The 16,010-nt window shown below is 32.9% G+C and overlaps 1 long non-coding RNA gene across 1 annotated transcript in view, besides 1 other annotated feature; it reads right to left on the bottom strand.

Moving 5' to 3' along the window:
* The window catches only part of LINC01720 (long intergenic non-protein coding RNA 1720), a 176,769-nt gene that overhangs the window by 33,163 nt on the left and 127,596 nt on the right, over positions 1-16,010 (bottom strand). The window lies entirely within an intron of this gene.
* Positions 1,380-1,580: a silencer, noted in NCBI's record as "peak580 fragment used in MPRA reporter construct". NCBI's record gives its function as "represses an SCP1 promoter by STARR-seq MPRAs in K562 erythroleukemia cells {active_cell/tissue: K562}" and the evidence as "EXISTENCE:reporter gene assay evidence [ECO:0000049][PMID:32103011]".

The raw sequence follows: 16,010 nt of genomic DNA, 5'->3' as shown, positions 1-16,010 counted from the left end.
ATTTTATATAAACATGAGTCAGAGTTGCTAAGACTAAATCTAATTCTCTGCACATACTTTCAAAATAAAAATATATGCCTCACAACATTGGTGGAATTTGTTGAGGTTAATAAATAAGAATACATTATAAGTTATTCTAATCTACCTTGTCATTCTTAGCTTTTTCTAAAACTCCAAAACAACAAAATCAAAAATGATAAACACTTAGCCGGGCGCAGTGGCTCAAGCACTTTGGGAGGCTGAGGCAGGTGGCTCACTTGAGACCGGGAGTTCAGGATCAGCCTGGCCAACATAGCAAAACCCTCTCTCTACTAAACCACAAAAATTAGCCAAGTGGGTGGTGCATGCCTGTAATCCCAGCTACTGGATTGCTGAGGCATGAGAATGGCTCAAACCTGAGAGGTGGAGGTTGCATTAAGCCGGGACCGCACAGCTGCACTCTAGCCTGGGTGACAAAGTGTGACTGTTAAAAAATAAAAATAAAAAATAAAAAATAAAGATTAAAACACAACGGAGTCTCTTTGTAGAAAACAGTTGGTGGGAAGTTTTTAAGTTAACTTGTAATCATTTTGTTTTCTGAACTTCACTGTGTAATCTAACAAGAGCTTTCTTATACTAGTCTGGTTTATCTTGCAAAAACAGCATGTTGTTCTCTTAAGGCACTAAAATGTGGTATATAATGATGTATTAGTCAGTAACCCCAGAAGCGTAAACTGAGCTGAAGTGCATTTTAGAGCCTCAGAACTTCCTCCAGGCAGAGTAAGGTGAACTTCTTTGTGTGAGTTCAATTTATTCTGCACTACGAAGTTGGGCTTCATTTTAGAGTATAAATGTGAAATCATCACAAAACAACAATGGGTAAAAGGCCATTTTTCTGTACATAATTATTATAAATTAAAAATGACATAAAATATAAATAACAATGTATTTAAATGAGTAAAAATAATTCTGATTTTTTCTTAAATATACATGAAATAATGACTAAAATTTCCCACCCCAAATTAAATGAATAGGAACAAAAACTTTAGGGATTTGATGAAAAATCACTAATATTTCACCCAGAAGAGATATATAAGGGACTAATTTCTTCAGTAGCAAAGTACTTACAAATAAGAGTTTCTATAAAGCTCAAGGGTGCAATAATGCACTACAATATTAAAATTAATTATTTCATTCAAGAAATTCAAGCAAAGCTCTATTAAATTTAATTATGTAAAGTATTACTCTGTGTTGTCTCCACTTTCTCTTCCTAAATACAAATCTCTGCTTTTTTTTCCTCTACTGCACATATTCAGTTCTCTATTCATCATTCTTACTTAATGTGTTGTAAGTAAACTCATTATTGAGCCTTATGAAGCACATCTAGGCTCAATAGAAAGACATTTTAAAAACTCTGGGATCCAGGATTTGGATCTGGACTTAATAGGTGGATGAGATCTTTTGTTGCATGTTTTGGTGAAAAAGGCAAGTAAGTTTAGACATGTATATGGTACCATTGAATTATAAAAATGGACATATTTTCAACATGTTTACATAAGAAGAAAATATGTTTGAACTTGGGGATCTACTGCCACTCATCTAAAAATAGCAGTCCGGGGCAACTCACTTTCTTATTCTTATTCCAGTGGCCTGTGCAAGGAACTACTCAGTGATTCCAGGTATTAGAGGTGACAAAAACCAAAGCCAGGCAGTGCATCACATTTTCCTAAGCCAAGTGGATTTCTTTAGGGACAGACACATAGCCCAAGCAGAGGAAAATAATTCCTGGGACTTTACTTGGGAATACTACTTCAGAGAGTCATCGATCTCCCCACTGAACTTGATGCTGACCACATGAAAAATCTGGGTCTGCTACCACCCCTTTAAATACAACATGAGGCCTTAAAATTAAACAAACTTGAAGGGAGATATACTGATGAAGACAGATAAGGTGAGGGTGACATCATTTTAAACCCTGAATTAAGTGATGCTGAAGCCTGCACTATATACTCATGAACTTTGAAGTTTTATTGTCAATATCTGTTTTCCTCCCGTGTACACTTCCTGCCATCTTTTAAGCAAGTTTTTGTTGATCTTTTTGTCCTTTGGAGCTTTAAAAAGTCTTAATTGATTTAAAAAAAAAGTTAAATCACCTGTCCAGCCATTCTTTCAATCTTTAAGAGACTGCACTTCTTCTTTATATACATTGCTAGTTGAGTTAGAGATAGTGATTTTCTGATGCAATTGAGTTCAGTAACAGTCTTTCTCTAGGACCTTTTAAATTATAGCTGAGGAAGTCAAGTCTCATTGGTAAGGAGAGTCATCAATTTAAAATTATGATAGCAAGAAACAGCTGTTTCCCAATTTGCTTTAAAAGCATGTTTCCAGTAAGATTAGGATTCTTGTTTTAGAAAATGGAATCATGAATGCTAAATAGCAGGATAGTGACTGATAGGGTTTGGATATTTGTTTCCTCCAAATCTCTTGTTGAAACGTGATCTTCAGTGTTGAGATCAGGCCTACTGGGAGGTGTTTGGCTGAAGTGGGTGGATCCCTCATGAATGGCTTGATGCCTACGCCATGGGAATGAGTGAATTCTAACTTTATTAGTTTATGTGAGAGATAATAGGTTAAAAACAGCATGGCATCTCTCTTGCTCCCTCTCTCACCATGTGATGTGCCCACTCCCCCTTCACCTCTTGCCATGAAAGTGTAGATCAAGGCCCTCACTGGAAGCAACACAAGCTTCTTGTACAGCTTGCAAAACCGTAAGCCAAATAAACTGATTTATTTATAAGTTACACAGCCTCAGGTATTCCTTTATAGCCACACAAAATGTACTAAAACAGTGGCACATGGAAATAATTGTATGATATTTGAAAATGGAAAAAAATAAGATTATATTTAAGTGTTCAAAGAGCAGGTAAGTGAAAAGGGCCTCAAAACCTAGGGAGATGCCAGAAAATAAAAAGGTGAAACTCTCAAAATTAATTAGATTTTGGAATGAGTCAATTCACATCAGTACTTGAAATGCAATTTTAGATACTGGGCACTGAAGTATTTAGTGATGAGCAAAGTAAATGTGTAATTTCATATGAGATGTGGATATAATTTTGTTATGTTGAGGCATAGACACACACTTGATGATACCTTGAGATGAAAACAATGAGAGACATAACAATGACTAAAGATGTCTCATTGATTTCTCTAAGTATCTTGTTCATCCAAACACAGGCAATGAAAATAAATTGGTGATTTTAGTAAAAGAAGTTAAACTTCACTTTTCAGTTCCAGTTTGCTGTCTCTTTTCAGTAGCAAAATAGGAATAGAATTACCTGTTGACTGTCTTGTCTGAAAGAAGTTATGGCAAGATAAAAGAAGACATCACATTTGCAGGAAGAAAATGTAATGCATCTTGTATTGCATTATGATGTTTACTCAGGCATTTACCTCACATTTCAAAGCTGTAAGACATAATAGGCATTGCTGTCAGTCATTCAAAAAATTGAGAAGGTCCTTTTAGTGTAATGATTGCACAAGAAAGAGTACTCGCTAGATGTTTATGGGAAACCTATAAGGTTACCTTTGAAATATTCTGGACTCTTTACTTAGATGTTCTTCTTCATGTACCATTTTCCAAAAGGGTAAAGATGCTATTAGATGATTTTGTATTCAGAAATATGTGATTGAGGTATTTGTAATCATTAATAAAAGTTCCATGATATGTGGTTAATTCTGTAGTAATGATCTACAGGAAATAACATCAATTACCTTGCTGAACTGCCCTCATTATTACAGGATATAATGAACTGAAAAACTACATTAGTGTTGCTGTGTTTCTCTGCAATTAAAAAATTCTGCATTGAAAAATTTATTTTATAAAGGAAAAATATCCTTTTATCTCATAATGTATCTGCTAGAAGCTCAGAGCAGAATTTGGGAGGGAAACTGTTTTTGTCGCTTTTTAAGTGACTGAACTTGGGCAATTTATTTAACCTCTCTAAGCCTTATTTTCTCTATTTATAAATATTCCTAATAAAATCCATTTAATAAGCTCATTGAGAAGATTAAAGAAATGACAAAACAATGCTCTTGTTCTGATACCTAACACAGTAATTGCTCAATCTCTTGTGTACAGAATGAAAGTCAATACTTCATAGAACCTGCATGTAAAGAGATGTTTGGTTAATATTTCTAAATAGAAGCCTACATTTATTTGAAGCTATCGCTTCTCATTATCAATAGGGCGTGGCCTTATCTTGCGTTCATCTTGACTTTTAAAATTTAATTAAAATTATATATTGTTTTAATATAGTTTTAAATCATTAAAAATACAAAGTTTAAAAATTTTAAGTCATACAAAGTTTGGCCGGGCGCGGTGGCTCATGCCTGTAATCCCAGCACTATGGGAGGCTGAGACGGGCGGATCACGAGGTCAGGAGATTGAGACCATCCTGGCTAACACGGTGAAACTCTGTCTCTACTAAAAATACAAAAAAAATTAGCCGGGCGTGGTGGCGGGCGCATGTAGTCCCAGCTACTCGGGAGGCTGAGGCAGAAGAATGGCGTGAAACCGGGAGGTGGAGCTCGCAGTGAGCCGAGATCACACCACTGCACTCCAGCCTGGACGACTGAGCGAGACTCCATCTCAAAAAGTAATAATAATAATACAAAGGATTGTTTTTTTTTTTCTTTCAATGTAGTCAATATATGCATTGGTAGTTCAAGAAAATGCAGACAATAATTTCTTCAATATCAATCAAAAGTACTCTCATTAAAAAATATATTTTTGGCTGGGTGCGGTGGCTCACGCCTCTAATCCCAGAACTTTGGGAGGCCGAGGCAGGTGGATCACTTGAGGTCAGGAGTTCGAGACCAGCCTGGCACACATGGTAAAACCCCGTCTCTACTAAAAATACAAAATTAGCTGGGCATGGTGGTAATTCCAGTTACACGGGAGGCTGAGGCAGGAGAATCACTGGAACCTGGGAGGTAGAGGATGCAGTGAGCCAGGACCGTGCCATTGCACTTTAGCAACAAGAGCAAAACTCCATCTCAAGAAAAAAAAAGAAAAAAATATATATATACACACATATATATTTTAATATTACTTCAAGTTCATTCTCTTTTTTGGTATCAATAGTCTAATGTTTTTTTCTTTTGTTTCTATCCCAAGGCTGACATTGTTGAGGTAAAGGGAATGTCAGTGCATAAAACATAAATTTAATAGCAGCTTTATTCTAGAGATGCTGTTGACAGAATTTAAGAGTTACACTAGTTTAAGAGATATGCCTTCTATGAAATTGCTTTAGGTTTTAGACTGACTTCCCCTGTAATAGAGTAAAAGATTCATATCGAGTTCTTTTTGAAGATACTTTAGATTAAACATTATTTTTTCTCTCTTTTTTCTTTTTTCTTCTTCCTTTCCTCTCTTTTCATGTGTATTTTGGCATAGAATTAACATATTGTTTGTATAACCAACAAGTTTAAGTATATGCTATTTTGTTTATACATTTTAGTTATATTTCTCCTAATTTTGGATTTATTTAACAGAAGTATCTAATTGTCCCATCTTTCCTTGCTTATAATATTTTCACATTTAATATCATCTTAACTTCTCTGCCTTGGCTTTTTTTTTGCTGAAAATATGGAGAATTTTGATAATATAATTGTAATTGACCTGTGATGTGTTTACACATATAAAACAGCATTACCTGAATTATACTGTTATCATGCTTAAAAAGGTCTTTGAAAAGATTTAACTGAAATAGACTGTTAAAAAGAACTAACTCTTAATATTTGCTGGAAGAACGGTGAGACTCTGCCAAACTTCTGTGAAGTCAAATTTATCACTCACAAAAGGTAAATTTATAGCACTTAAAGTCGGTAAGGCATTTTTAAACTTAAATACATCACTATAGTACCTCGACATTGAATATCATAGTTGACTACTTAAAAATACCCTGCACAATATAAAGCAGGATGTGTCACCTCAGCACTTTGTATTGATTGAACAAAATTTCACTAACTGGAAGTTGAAACATTTCATCAGGCACATACTGTCCCTACCATGCAAGTTCAATAGACTCACCTGGTCCTATAATGATAATAGAGTGGCATTTCACCACCTCCATTGTGATGAGAATAATAAAAAGAGTGTGCTACTCAGCTTTTAAAACCTCTTTCTTAGAATCAGATGAATTTTATTAAGGAGGAAAATTGATCATGAACAAACATAACCTTTAAGGTAAATAAGAATCATAGATATAGTTGAGCAAAACATATTAAAGGTAATATTTTCAAAATGAGGAAAGAGTAATACTCCATAGTTTTAGAATTTTAAGCAAGTATCAAATGCTACAATCACATAGAATGATTTAACCCCCAGATGAGGTCATTACGTAGCTTGTAAAACAAGCTAAGCAAATTTTTTTAAAAAAACTAAAACTTTGTATTTTAAACTTTCTTTTTTTTCCTAGTGACACAGTCTCATTCTGCTGTCTAAGCTGGAGTGCAGTGATGTGATCACAGCTCACTGCAACCTCAAATTCCTGAACTGAAATGATCCTCCTGCCTCAGCCTCCTGATTAGCTGTGATTACAGGCATGCTCCACCATGCTCAGCTTAAATTGTAACTTTTAATGAGCATTAGTTTCATATTTCTAATGTGATGACTCTGTTATTATGTATAACACTGACTCATGGTAAAGACTGTGAAAATAAATAAAACATAATAAATAATATTGTTCTTCATTTAATTTCCTGTGTACTAGCATGAAAGAAGAGAAAAACTATCCCACAAATATCTATGAATTTATTTTTAAATTTGAATGACCTCAGGCCTTCTAATTGGAATAATTCTTGAGCTGCTTAGTTTATTTTATTCTGTGAATATTTGGATGACTTGATTAAATATAATACTATATTTTATTTGGACCTTATTTAGGCAATGCTTGTGCCTCCTTTTTTCTATCAGTTGCTACTGTTCTAATAAAGTCTCCATCCTCCCTCACCTTCACTACCATTATATCCTTTTAACTAAACTCCCTTTCTAATCTTTCCACCTCAGTCCACTCTCTGATGAGTAGCTTGAGTATTGTTTTAAATTATTTTATGTGAATTGGATCACTCCTTCCTTAAAACCTTTTAAAAACTTCCATTATGCTTACAAAGTTGGGGTTTCTACTTTTAACATAAATAATCCTTAACATTTCCGTAACCTCACTGAAGCTTTTCTTGCTGTGTTTTACATTTGCTGCACTTGCTCTGTTCTTTTGAGGTTCTCAAACACACCACGTTCTTGTCTGCCTCAGAAGCTTTAATACATGCACTTTCTTGAAGCCTGGTATAGGTAGCTTCTCAGCCTTCTGCTTCCAGATGTTAGATTAATCATCTACCAAGGGATGCCTTCTGAAGATGTTAAATTTAAAGTGTTTTTTTTGTACTATTCTTCATATTATTCATGATTTTTCCTTCAATTTATACAACTAGCAATTAATTTTAATTTTTAGTACATTTATAATTTTTACTTCTGTTCCCCTTCTAACCATAAACTCACTGATGACAAGAAGCATTACTATTCTACCTACCTTTTTTCCCCAATCAGCTAGCATCATGGATTATGTGTAGTAAATGCTCAACAATTACTTATTGAATCAATAAATGGTTACTAAATAAATACAATGACATAAGACTACAAGTAAGACAAAGGTAATAAATTTTCACACACAAGCACACACTCTCTAACTCTGCTGGTGTTATATAATTTTAATTGTTCCTATTCAAAGATGATACATTTTATAATCGCTGCAATTTTTATTGAAAGCCTTCTTCCTTGTTGATAGGCCTTTCCATATTATTGAAATAAGAAGTTCTTTTTAACTCTTTTTCTTTGTATATTTCTGTTATCTATCCTTTAAGTTACTAGCCGAACCCCAACTCTCACACCTCTTTCTAACTTATTTGAATTAATGTTATTTTCACATTTCCTCATGTGTAATGAAGTCCTCCTGTTAGTTTTCCTAACTTTGAATTTTATAGTTTGCCACATACAAAAATTATCATTCCTGACTTTTGATGTAACACTGTCTTAGGTCTATATTAATACCCAAGTTCAAATCCATGTCCTGCCACTTACTCACTAAAAGAACTTAGGCAAGTCTCCTGTCTTTCCAGAGTCCTCATGTAAAAGCAAGATATTCTATAGTACTGGAGTAAAGAATAAAATGAGATATCTTACTAAACTACTTTTTAAAGTGTCTGAGAAATAGCACCTTCCCAATAAGTTGATCAGCTGGGTCTTTCTCTCTCTGTCTACTCTCTGGCCTTCTCCTTCCCCATGTGGCCTGTCTAGATTGTCTTTCCACATGATCCCTCCTGAAAGATAGCTAGACCTATATGGCATCTCAGACTCACTAAAGCACAAAAGTGGAAACTGCCAGACTTATCTTAAGACTCAGGCTCAGATCTTGATCTTGTATGGTATCACTTCCACCACATTCTACTGGTTAAAGTGACTAATAGGGCAAGACCAGATTCAAAATAGGAACAGAGCCTTACAAAACATGAACTGAAAGTCATGGACCATTTTACACTAGCTATTACAAGTCATAATGTTCAACTCAAAGCATAGGCTTTGATCTTGCTAACTTTGTAGTAACCCTAGCTTTGCTGTGTGTCCTGCAGCAAGTTACTCTACCCTCTTTGCCTCTTGATTTCTTTATTTTTAAAGAGGTAATGATAACAGAATACAATTGTAAAGTTTGTTATGAGAATCACAGTTGTAAACCACTTAGGTGTTTGTCTGGCACATAATTCAATACTCAGTAAGTGTTAGTTACGCAAATTGCTGTTGTTACTTGCCAGTGAGAGGTTTATATCTGGCTAAGTTACTTAGCCCCTCTTAGCATCAGTTTTCTTTATATATATTTTAATGATGGTTATAATTTCCACCTAATAGTGTTGTTGTGAAACTTCAGTGAGATGTTTTCTGGTTGCCTGGCATGGAATATTTAGATAGTCAATGAATCTTATACTTCCCTCCCCAGGACTATAAGTCCTGATAAGTTTGCAAAACATAAAATAATAATAATAATAATAATAGTATTAATAATTTCAAAGTGGAACAAGCACTATATTCTCAATAAATATCACTTAACATTAACAAGTTAAAATATTTTTGAAATGAAATAAATGTTTAATTGGTATAAAAGGTAATAGAATACTTAAATTATTATTTATCAATCAATCAATTTTCCATTTTAAAAATTCAAAAATGTCTCATGAAAATTATGACTATTGGTATAAATTGCCCATAAATTATTGGGAAATTATGAATTTACACTGTTAATAATTGTGCCTTAAATACTGTCACTAAAACTATAATATAAAATATAATTTTTTTGTACTGGTCCTAAATTCATAGCTTTTACATTTGGATTAAAAACAATAAAAGTATGCATAAGCCTACACTAAGTAAATTCTTAAGTGAACACTACATAAATTCTTAATGGAACTTAAAATATTCATTCAGTATATACTAAATATTCAGTATAGAACCAAGGAAAGTAAACAAAGTTACGTTGAATACTTCTGCCTTAAAAGTTGTCATTAAAAAATGATTAGATAGATCAGTAGGGGGACTAGAGTTAACATTAATCTATTGTACATTTCAAAATAGTTAGAAGAGAATTTAAGTTTTCCTAGCTTTAAGAAAAGGTAAATATTGAAGTTGATGGATATCCCAATAACTCTGATTCCATCTTTACATATTATAAGAATGTGTCACCTAATCACATGTACCCCCAAAATATGTACATTTATTATCAATACAAACTTATAAAAATGAATAAATAAAAACAACTTTAAAATAAGCAATTGATAGACTTTTCAAAGGAATTTTTTCAAGATGAGGTATTCAATAAACATCACGTGTTCCTTAAATCTATAAGGTACAGATTGACAGAGGTTTTTGTATCTCAGAAAAAGACATACACAAATTATAGTCTGACACTACATTGAAAATAATATTGGCTGTGAAATCTGATGTATATTTGCAATGGAAATAACATTTTGATATTGGCAATGTTGTGAAACAAAAACATATCATATCTGTTCTCTAGCAAAGCCTCTCTACTCATCGAGAACAGGTATTGTATGTTCTCTCAATATTTTTGTCAATTTGTCCTAAATCCTAATCTAGATTACAGAGAGACTTTGTGGCACAGAAATTAAATCTGGCAATGTCTGAGTATAATTTTAAAAAAATCTCATACATAAATGAGGCAAAGACTTTCCTAGTGTATTTTTTTCTTTGATATTTCCCCCAGTTTGCTTAAACTGGCTCCTTATAGATATATTCCATGCAATGAGCACTTTATTTCTCTACAATGAGCATTTATCTTATGTCTTTATTCTTTCCCAGAGCTGAAATTAGTAGTGTGTACCATTCTCTAGTGTCGAAATTTCACTTCACATAAAACAGTTAAAAGTAGACATCCTAAAATGGAGAAGTAACACAGCAAAGAGTTATGAACATGGAAAAGAGTATTTCCTAATAACATTTGGTAAGTTTTTTCCCAATTGAAAACAACCAAAGCCTTTTTTTCTTCACAATTTGCTTGGAAAATATAGCTTGTTAATTAATTTGGCAATTACTTTTCAATCCTCTACTATAACACTCTAGAAGAGACACATAATATAAGCCACATATATGAATCACATATGTAATTGTATATGTTTTAGTAGCCACTTTAAAGATACATGTTTTAAAACAGGTAAAATTAATCTGAATTATATATTTTTGTTTAACATGAAATATTACCATTTTAACATGCACTCAATACAAAAATTATTACTGCGCTATTTTACTTTTTTTTGTATAAAGGCTTTGAAATTGTGCATTTACACTTCCATCTTAATCTTGATTAGGCATATTTCACTTCAAGTGGTCAATATGCTTTCTTGGACAAAAGTAGCCATGGTTGGACCAGAGTTAACAAGAAAGAAATTGGCAGAGAAAGAAATGAACATGACAGGCAGAGGCTAGATCGTGCAGAGTTCCATGGATCACATAAGGTGTTTGGATTTTATTCTGAGCATGACAAGAAAAAGTTAGCAGGTAAAGAAGAGAAGACTGATATGATGACTTGATTAGTCTGACTGCCATGTGCCTGTTTGACTGGAGTAGAAGATTGTAAATGTGATGGCAAAGAAATCAGTGAATTAATGCTATCTATAACACAAAGAGTCATCACTGTGGCTTCAAAATGATATGGCATCTCAAGAATCAAGCTACAGTTTGTAAATTAGGATTCCTAGCTTGGTTGTTCACAAATAAAAACATAGTTTCATGTATCATTACAAGTGTTACTGTATTAGTTAGGGTTCTCTAAAGGGACAGAACTAATAGGATATATGTGTAATATGAAAGAGAGTTTATTAAGGAGAATTGACTCAAACGATCACAAGGTAAAGTCCCTCCATAGGCCATCTGCAAGTTGAGGAGCAAGGAAGCCAGTGGTGATTCAAACCTCAAAAGTAGAGAAGCCTACAGTGCAGCCTTCTGTCTGTGGCCAAGGCCCAAGAGATCCTGGTAAACCACTGGCGTAAATTTCAAAAATCCAAAAACTGAAGAACTAGGAGTCTGATGTTTGAGGGCAGGAAGCATCCAGCATCGGGGAAAGATGAAGGCTGGAAGACCCAGCAAGTCTTCTCTTCCATCTTCTCCTGTCTGCTTTATTCTAGCCACCCTGGCAGCTGATTAGATGGTGCCCACCCTGACTGAGAATGGGTCTGTCTCTCCCAGTCCACTGACTCAAATGTTAATCTCCTTAACAACACCCTTACAAACATGCCCAGGAACAATACTTTCCATTCTTTGATCCAATCAAGTTGACATTCAATATTAACCATCAATATTACATATTCTTCTATTTCAAAAACTTAATAACACTTCTTATAAAAATTAAATTTTCTTTCAATCTCATTGTATAGTAGCTTTGGAAAATCCATATACAAGGCCAAATTATAACATTTTATAGACAACTTCTATGAAATATATAGATAGATGTTACTAAAATAAAATTGTAGCCATATTTATCTTATGAAAAGCACTTATTAAAATTTTTAATATTTTTCCAAACCTGTATACATGGTGTACAAGTGGTGTTAAATTATATTAATGCAATTTATAACATCAACATGTATGTTCAATTTGTTTCTGATTCTCTATTAACCCTGTAAACTGGGCAAAAATCTAAATCATTTTTCTTATTTTCCTGCACAAACATTATTCAAATGCTTGCTTCTTTCTGTAAATAATTTTAAATAAATTGGCCCACAAAACAAGAATTTGAATCCTAGTTTTAACACATAGTACTTATCCCTGTTATAATAAACATCTAACGTAATCATGGAGTATATGAGATAAAGAATTTTTTTTAGAAAAGGCTTGGAACATACTGTTTTAATGATAATTATATAACCATCAAGTTAATAATGCATAACTGACTAGCAAGTGATATGGATAATTTTAAAAAATAATATACTAGTGAATATAATGTAAAATAAAAAATGATTGTTGAGTGATATGGAGAGAAACATCTTAGAGTCAACAATTTACCTTAAAAATTCTGGTATATAAAAACTGAAAATGAACTTCTGTGATGATTAAATTTTGTGTCATCCAGATTGGTTTAAGAACAGGATGTTTACATATTTGATCAAACATGATTTCTGGGTGTGTCTGTGAGGGTGTTTCTGATAAGATTAGCATTTGAATCAGTGGACCGAGTATAGGAGTATAGTAGATTGTCGTTCTCAATGTGGGTGGAAATCATCTAATCTGAATAGATCAAAAAGGCAAAAGAGGTATAATGTGTTGTCTCTGCCTGTTTGAGCTTAGTCATTGGTCTTCTTCCACCCTTGGATTGGGACTTACACCACCATCAGCACTCATAGTAATTAGGACTTTATACTCAGACTGGAACTGCACCATCAGCTTTCCTGAGTCTTCAGCCCACAGACAACAGATTATTGTACTTCTCAGTCTCTATAAATGCATTAGCAAATTCATTATAATGAATCTTTGTAGATAAATAGACATACATACACATATGTGCTTGTGTATCTATACACATATATACACATATATGTACATAAACAAATACATACACACAGAGGGAGGGAATGAAATTTATAAGATATATAGATCCTGTTGGCTTTGTTTCTCTTGAGAACCCTAACTAGTACAGTTGTCTAAAAATTTTCTTCAGAAAAAGAATCTCTTGTAGAATAATAGGATTATAAAATTATAATCATATATGTGTCAATAATTCAAACATATGTATGTAAATAATATTTGAACATGTAGGCCTATATTTTCCCCAAATATACACATATACACAAATCTATGTTTCCACAAATTCTTCTCCAGAAGAGTTATCAAATATTCCAGTAGAAACTCTTCTTGATTCAATAAACTAACAAGCAATAGACTTTTCTGGGCATAGTTCCAAGTAAGTATGATAATGCTGATTTGAAAGATGAAGCCCTCTTGTGGAAAGACAGCTATATACTCATATATTTCCCAATGCCTCATGGAAAGGAAAAAATATCCTAAACATATCTCTTACTGTACTCATTAAATAGTGTGAAACGATTAGGGTAAATCATCATTCACACTGCACCTCACTTTGTTTGGCTTTGTTTATAGAATCTATTTAGAAGCTCTTGGAGAAAACATTTGCCAAATTTTTAATCACTTATCAAATTCCTAGCAAGTAGAGTGCTTTCAAATGCTAACAATCTATAAACATAGTTATAAAAAACAAACAAAATGATATAGAATCAAACTGACAACTGGATAAGCACTTCAGCTGCATTTGTTGGAATTATTCCCACTCTCAAATGCTTTCAACTTGAAAAAAAAAAAAAGCACTCTTCCCTTTTATTTGAGCTACTGAGCTAGAAAGGCCAGTCGTCTTAATATCTTACAATATCTTAAAGACTGAAGAATAATAACTGATAGAATTTGGCAGAAAATAATGCTTCTAATTTAACATATTTAGGAACCAATTGCCAGAGTAACAATTTAGAATGAGCATATAAAAATCGGAATTGCGACAACTGTAATTGGAAAAATTGTGTGTGCAAAAACTCACTAAAAAGTGATTACTTATATTAATCTACATTTACAGATCTATTTCTATAATTTTAATTATATGAGTATCATATAAGTGCACTGAAATAAAAACAAAACAAGCAAAGAACAATCATTTACACTTATGCATGAGCTTAAAAATAACAAGGAAATTGTGTATCATGAGATTATATATTATTTTCTATTTTGATTTTTGATAATATATTTTGATCCATTTTTGATGATTATGTGGTTATCACATGTTTTGCTCATTTCCTGATGATTATGAAGAATTTCACCCTATTGATTTTCACTATATTCTACTATATTCAGGATCATTTAATCATCATAATTTTGAATAAACATAGAAATGAAAATGTTGTCATGGTGTTTTGTAGAGAAGAAATAAACAATCATTAAAGGAGAATTTCATGGCAATTCTCTTTGGAAAATGAGAGAGTTCTAGATATGAATGATGTCCCTAAAAATGTATAGTCTCTTATGAAAATGGAAACATGTTTCAGAGAGCAATTATACCAATTTTGATCTATATTGTTTATTAATTATGTAATAAAGACTAAACATACAATCAAATACAGTAAAAGTACATATAAAAATAAACATTTAAATTATATTTCATGTAGTTTCATAAATCTCCCAGAACATAAGGAACACTGTAGATATCTTTACATACATTTAATGCAATTCCCAGAAACTATGATATATTTATATATGTGAAAGAGCAAATATGAAATGCACCATATATATTTTGATGGAACGTCAACTATGATCAACCTAGCTACAGTCTAGGGAGGCATTAGTAAATTTAGAATTCAGAACACCAAAATCGGATGGTATTTTTAACTTTGTGTTTTAACCCCTGTTCCAGTTGTGCCCTCAAACAGCTGAAAAATATTACAGGTTTAGGCTAGAATCCAAAGGAGCAAATTCTTAATCATAGATTTGGTGCTCAAAAGAAGCAGAAAAATTTTTCTTTTTCATTGAGATCACATTTAGAACAAGCCTGAGACCCCTTTGAATAAGTATCCAAACATGCCTGTCTCTTTTGTCTCTAACACCTATATTTCCCTTCTCCCTATTTTAGATTCCTGCATTCCCCCTGTTCCACACTTTTTGGTGTTTACATTGGTAGAGCTCAGTTTCAGTCCCTGAGTAAGTCTGAATAAAGTTAACAATTAAAAAAATAAATGTTTAACTACTATAACCATTATTTCTAAGATAATTACACATATTTTCTGATAAAAATCTACAATCATATGTAGCATGCCATCTAATGATGGATATTTCTAAAGATAAATGCAATAGTCATACTATCTGCAACAAATAAGAGTGGCTAAATATGTAGAGGAAGAAACTGATATATTCCTAGAGGCCTAGGAAATAGTCCTTAAAATAACTTTTCTGATGAACATTCAATCTATATATTCTGTTTGCATATATAATTACAAAATTTTCAAGATAAAGCTTTTATTTTTATATATTTTTAAACTCATCAAATATTTTATAGATAGCTATTACGATTTAGAATGAAGTGCTAGAAAAAATATTGACACAACATGGCACAGTATTTCTTGATACTGTCCAAATATAGACATACATTTCCACTGGTCTTAAATTTCCTACCAGTTGGTTCCACCTTAGGAATTTCAAACTGATTAAAGGGAGGAGCACAGTATTTCTTGAAATGTGGTGAGAATAAGAATTGGCACTGGGCAGGAGAAAAGTGTTGATATCACCATAGGAAGTATTTCACCTGCAATCACGAAATGTGAGCCTGTGGTATGTTAGGTATGGCTGAGATATTTGAGTTTTCGAGGATGAACAGATGGGAAATTTTTTTTTAAAAAATGTGGCAGAAGGGTACTGCACA

Source organism: Homo sapiens, chromosome 1, assembly GCF_000001405.40.
Source record: "Homo sapiens chromosome 1, GRCh38.p14 Primary Assembly".
Classification (NCBI taxonomy): Eukaryota; Metazoa; Chordata; class Mammalia; order Primates; family Hominidae; genus Homo; species Homo sapiens.
This window is presented reverse-complemented; position numbering and strand designations above follow the sequence as displayed.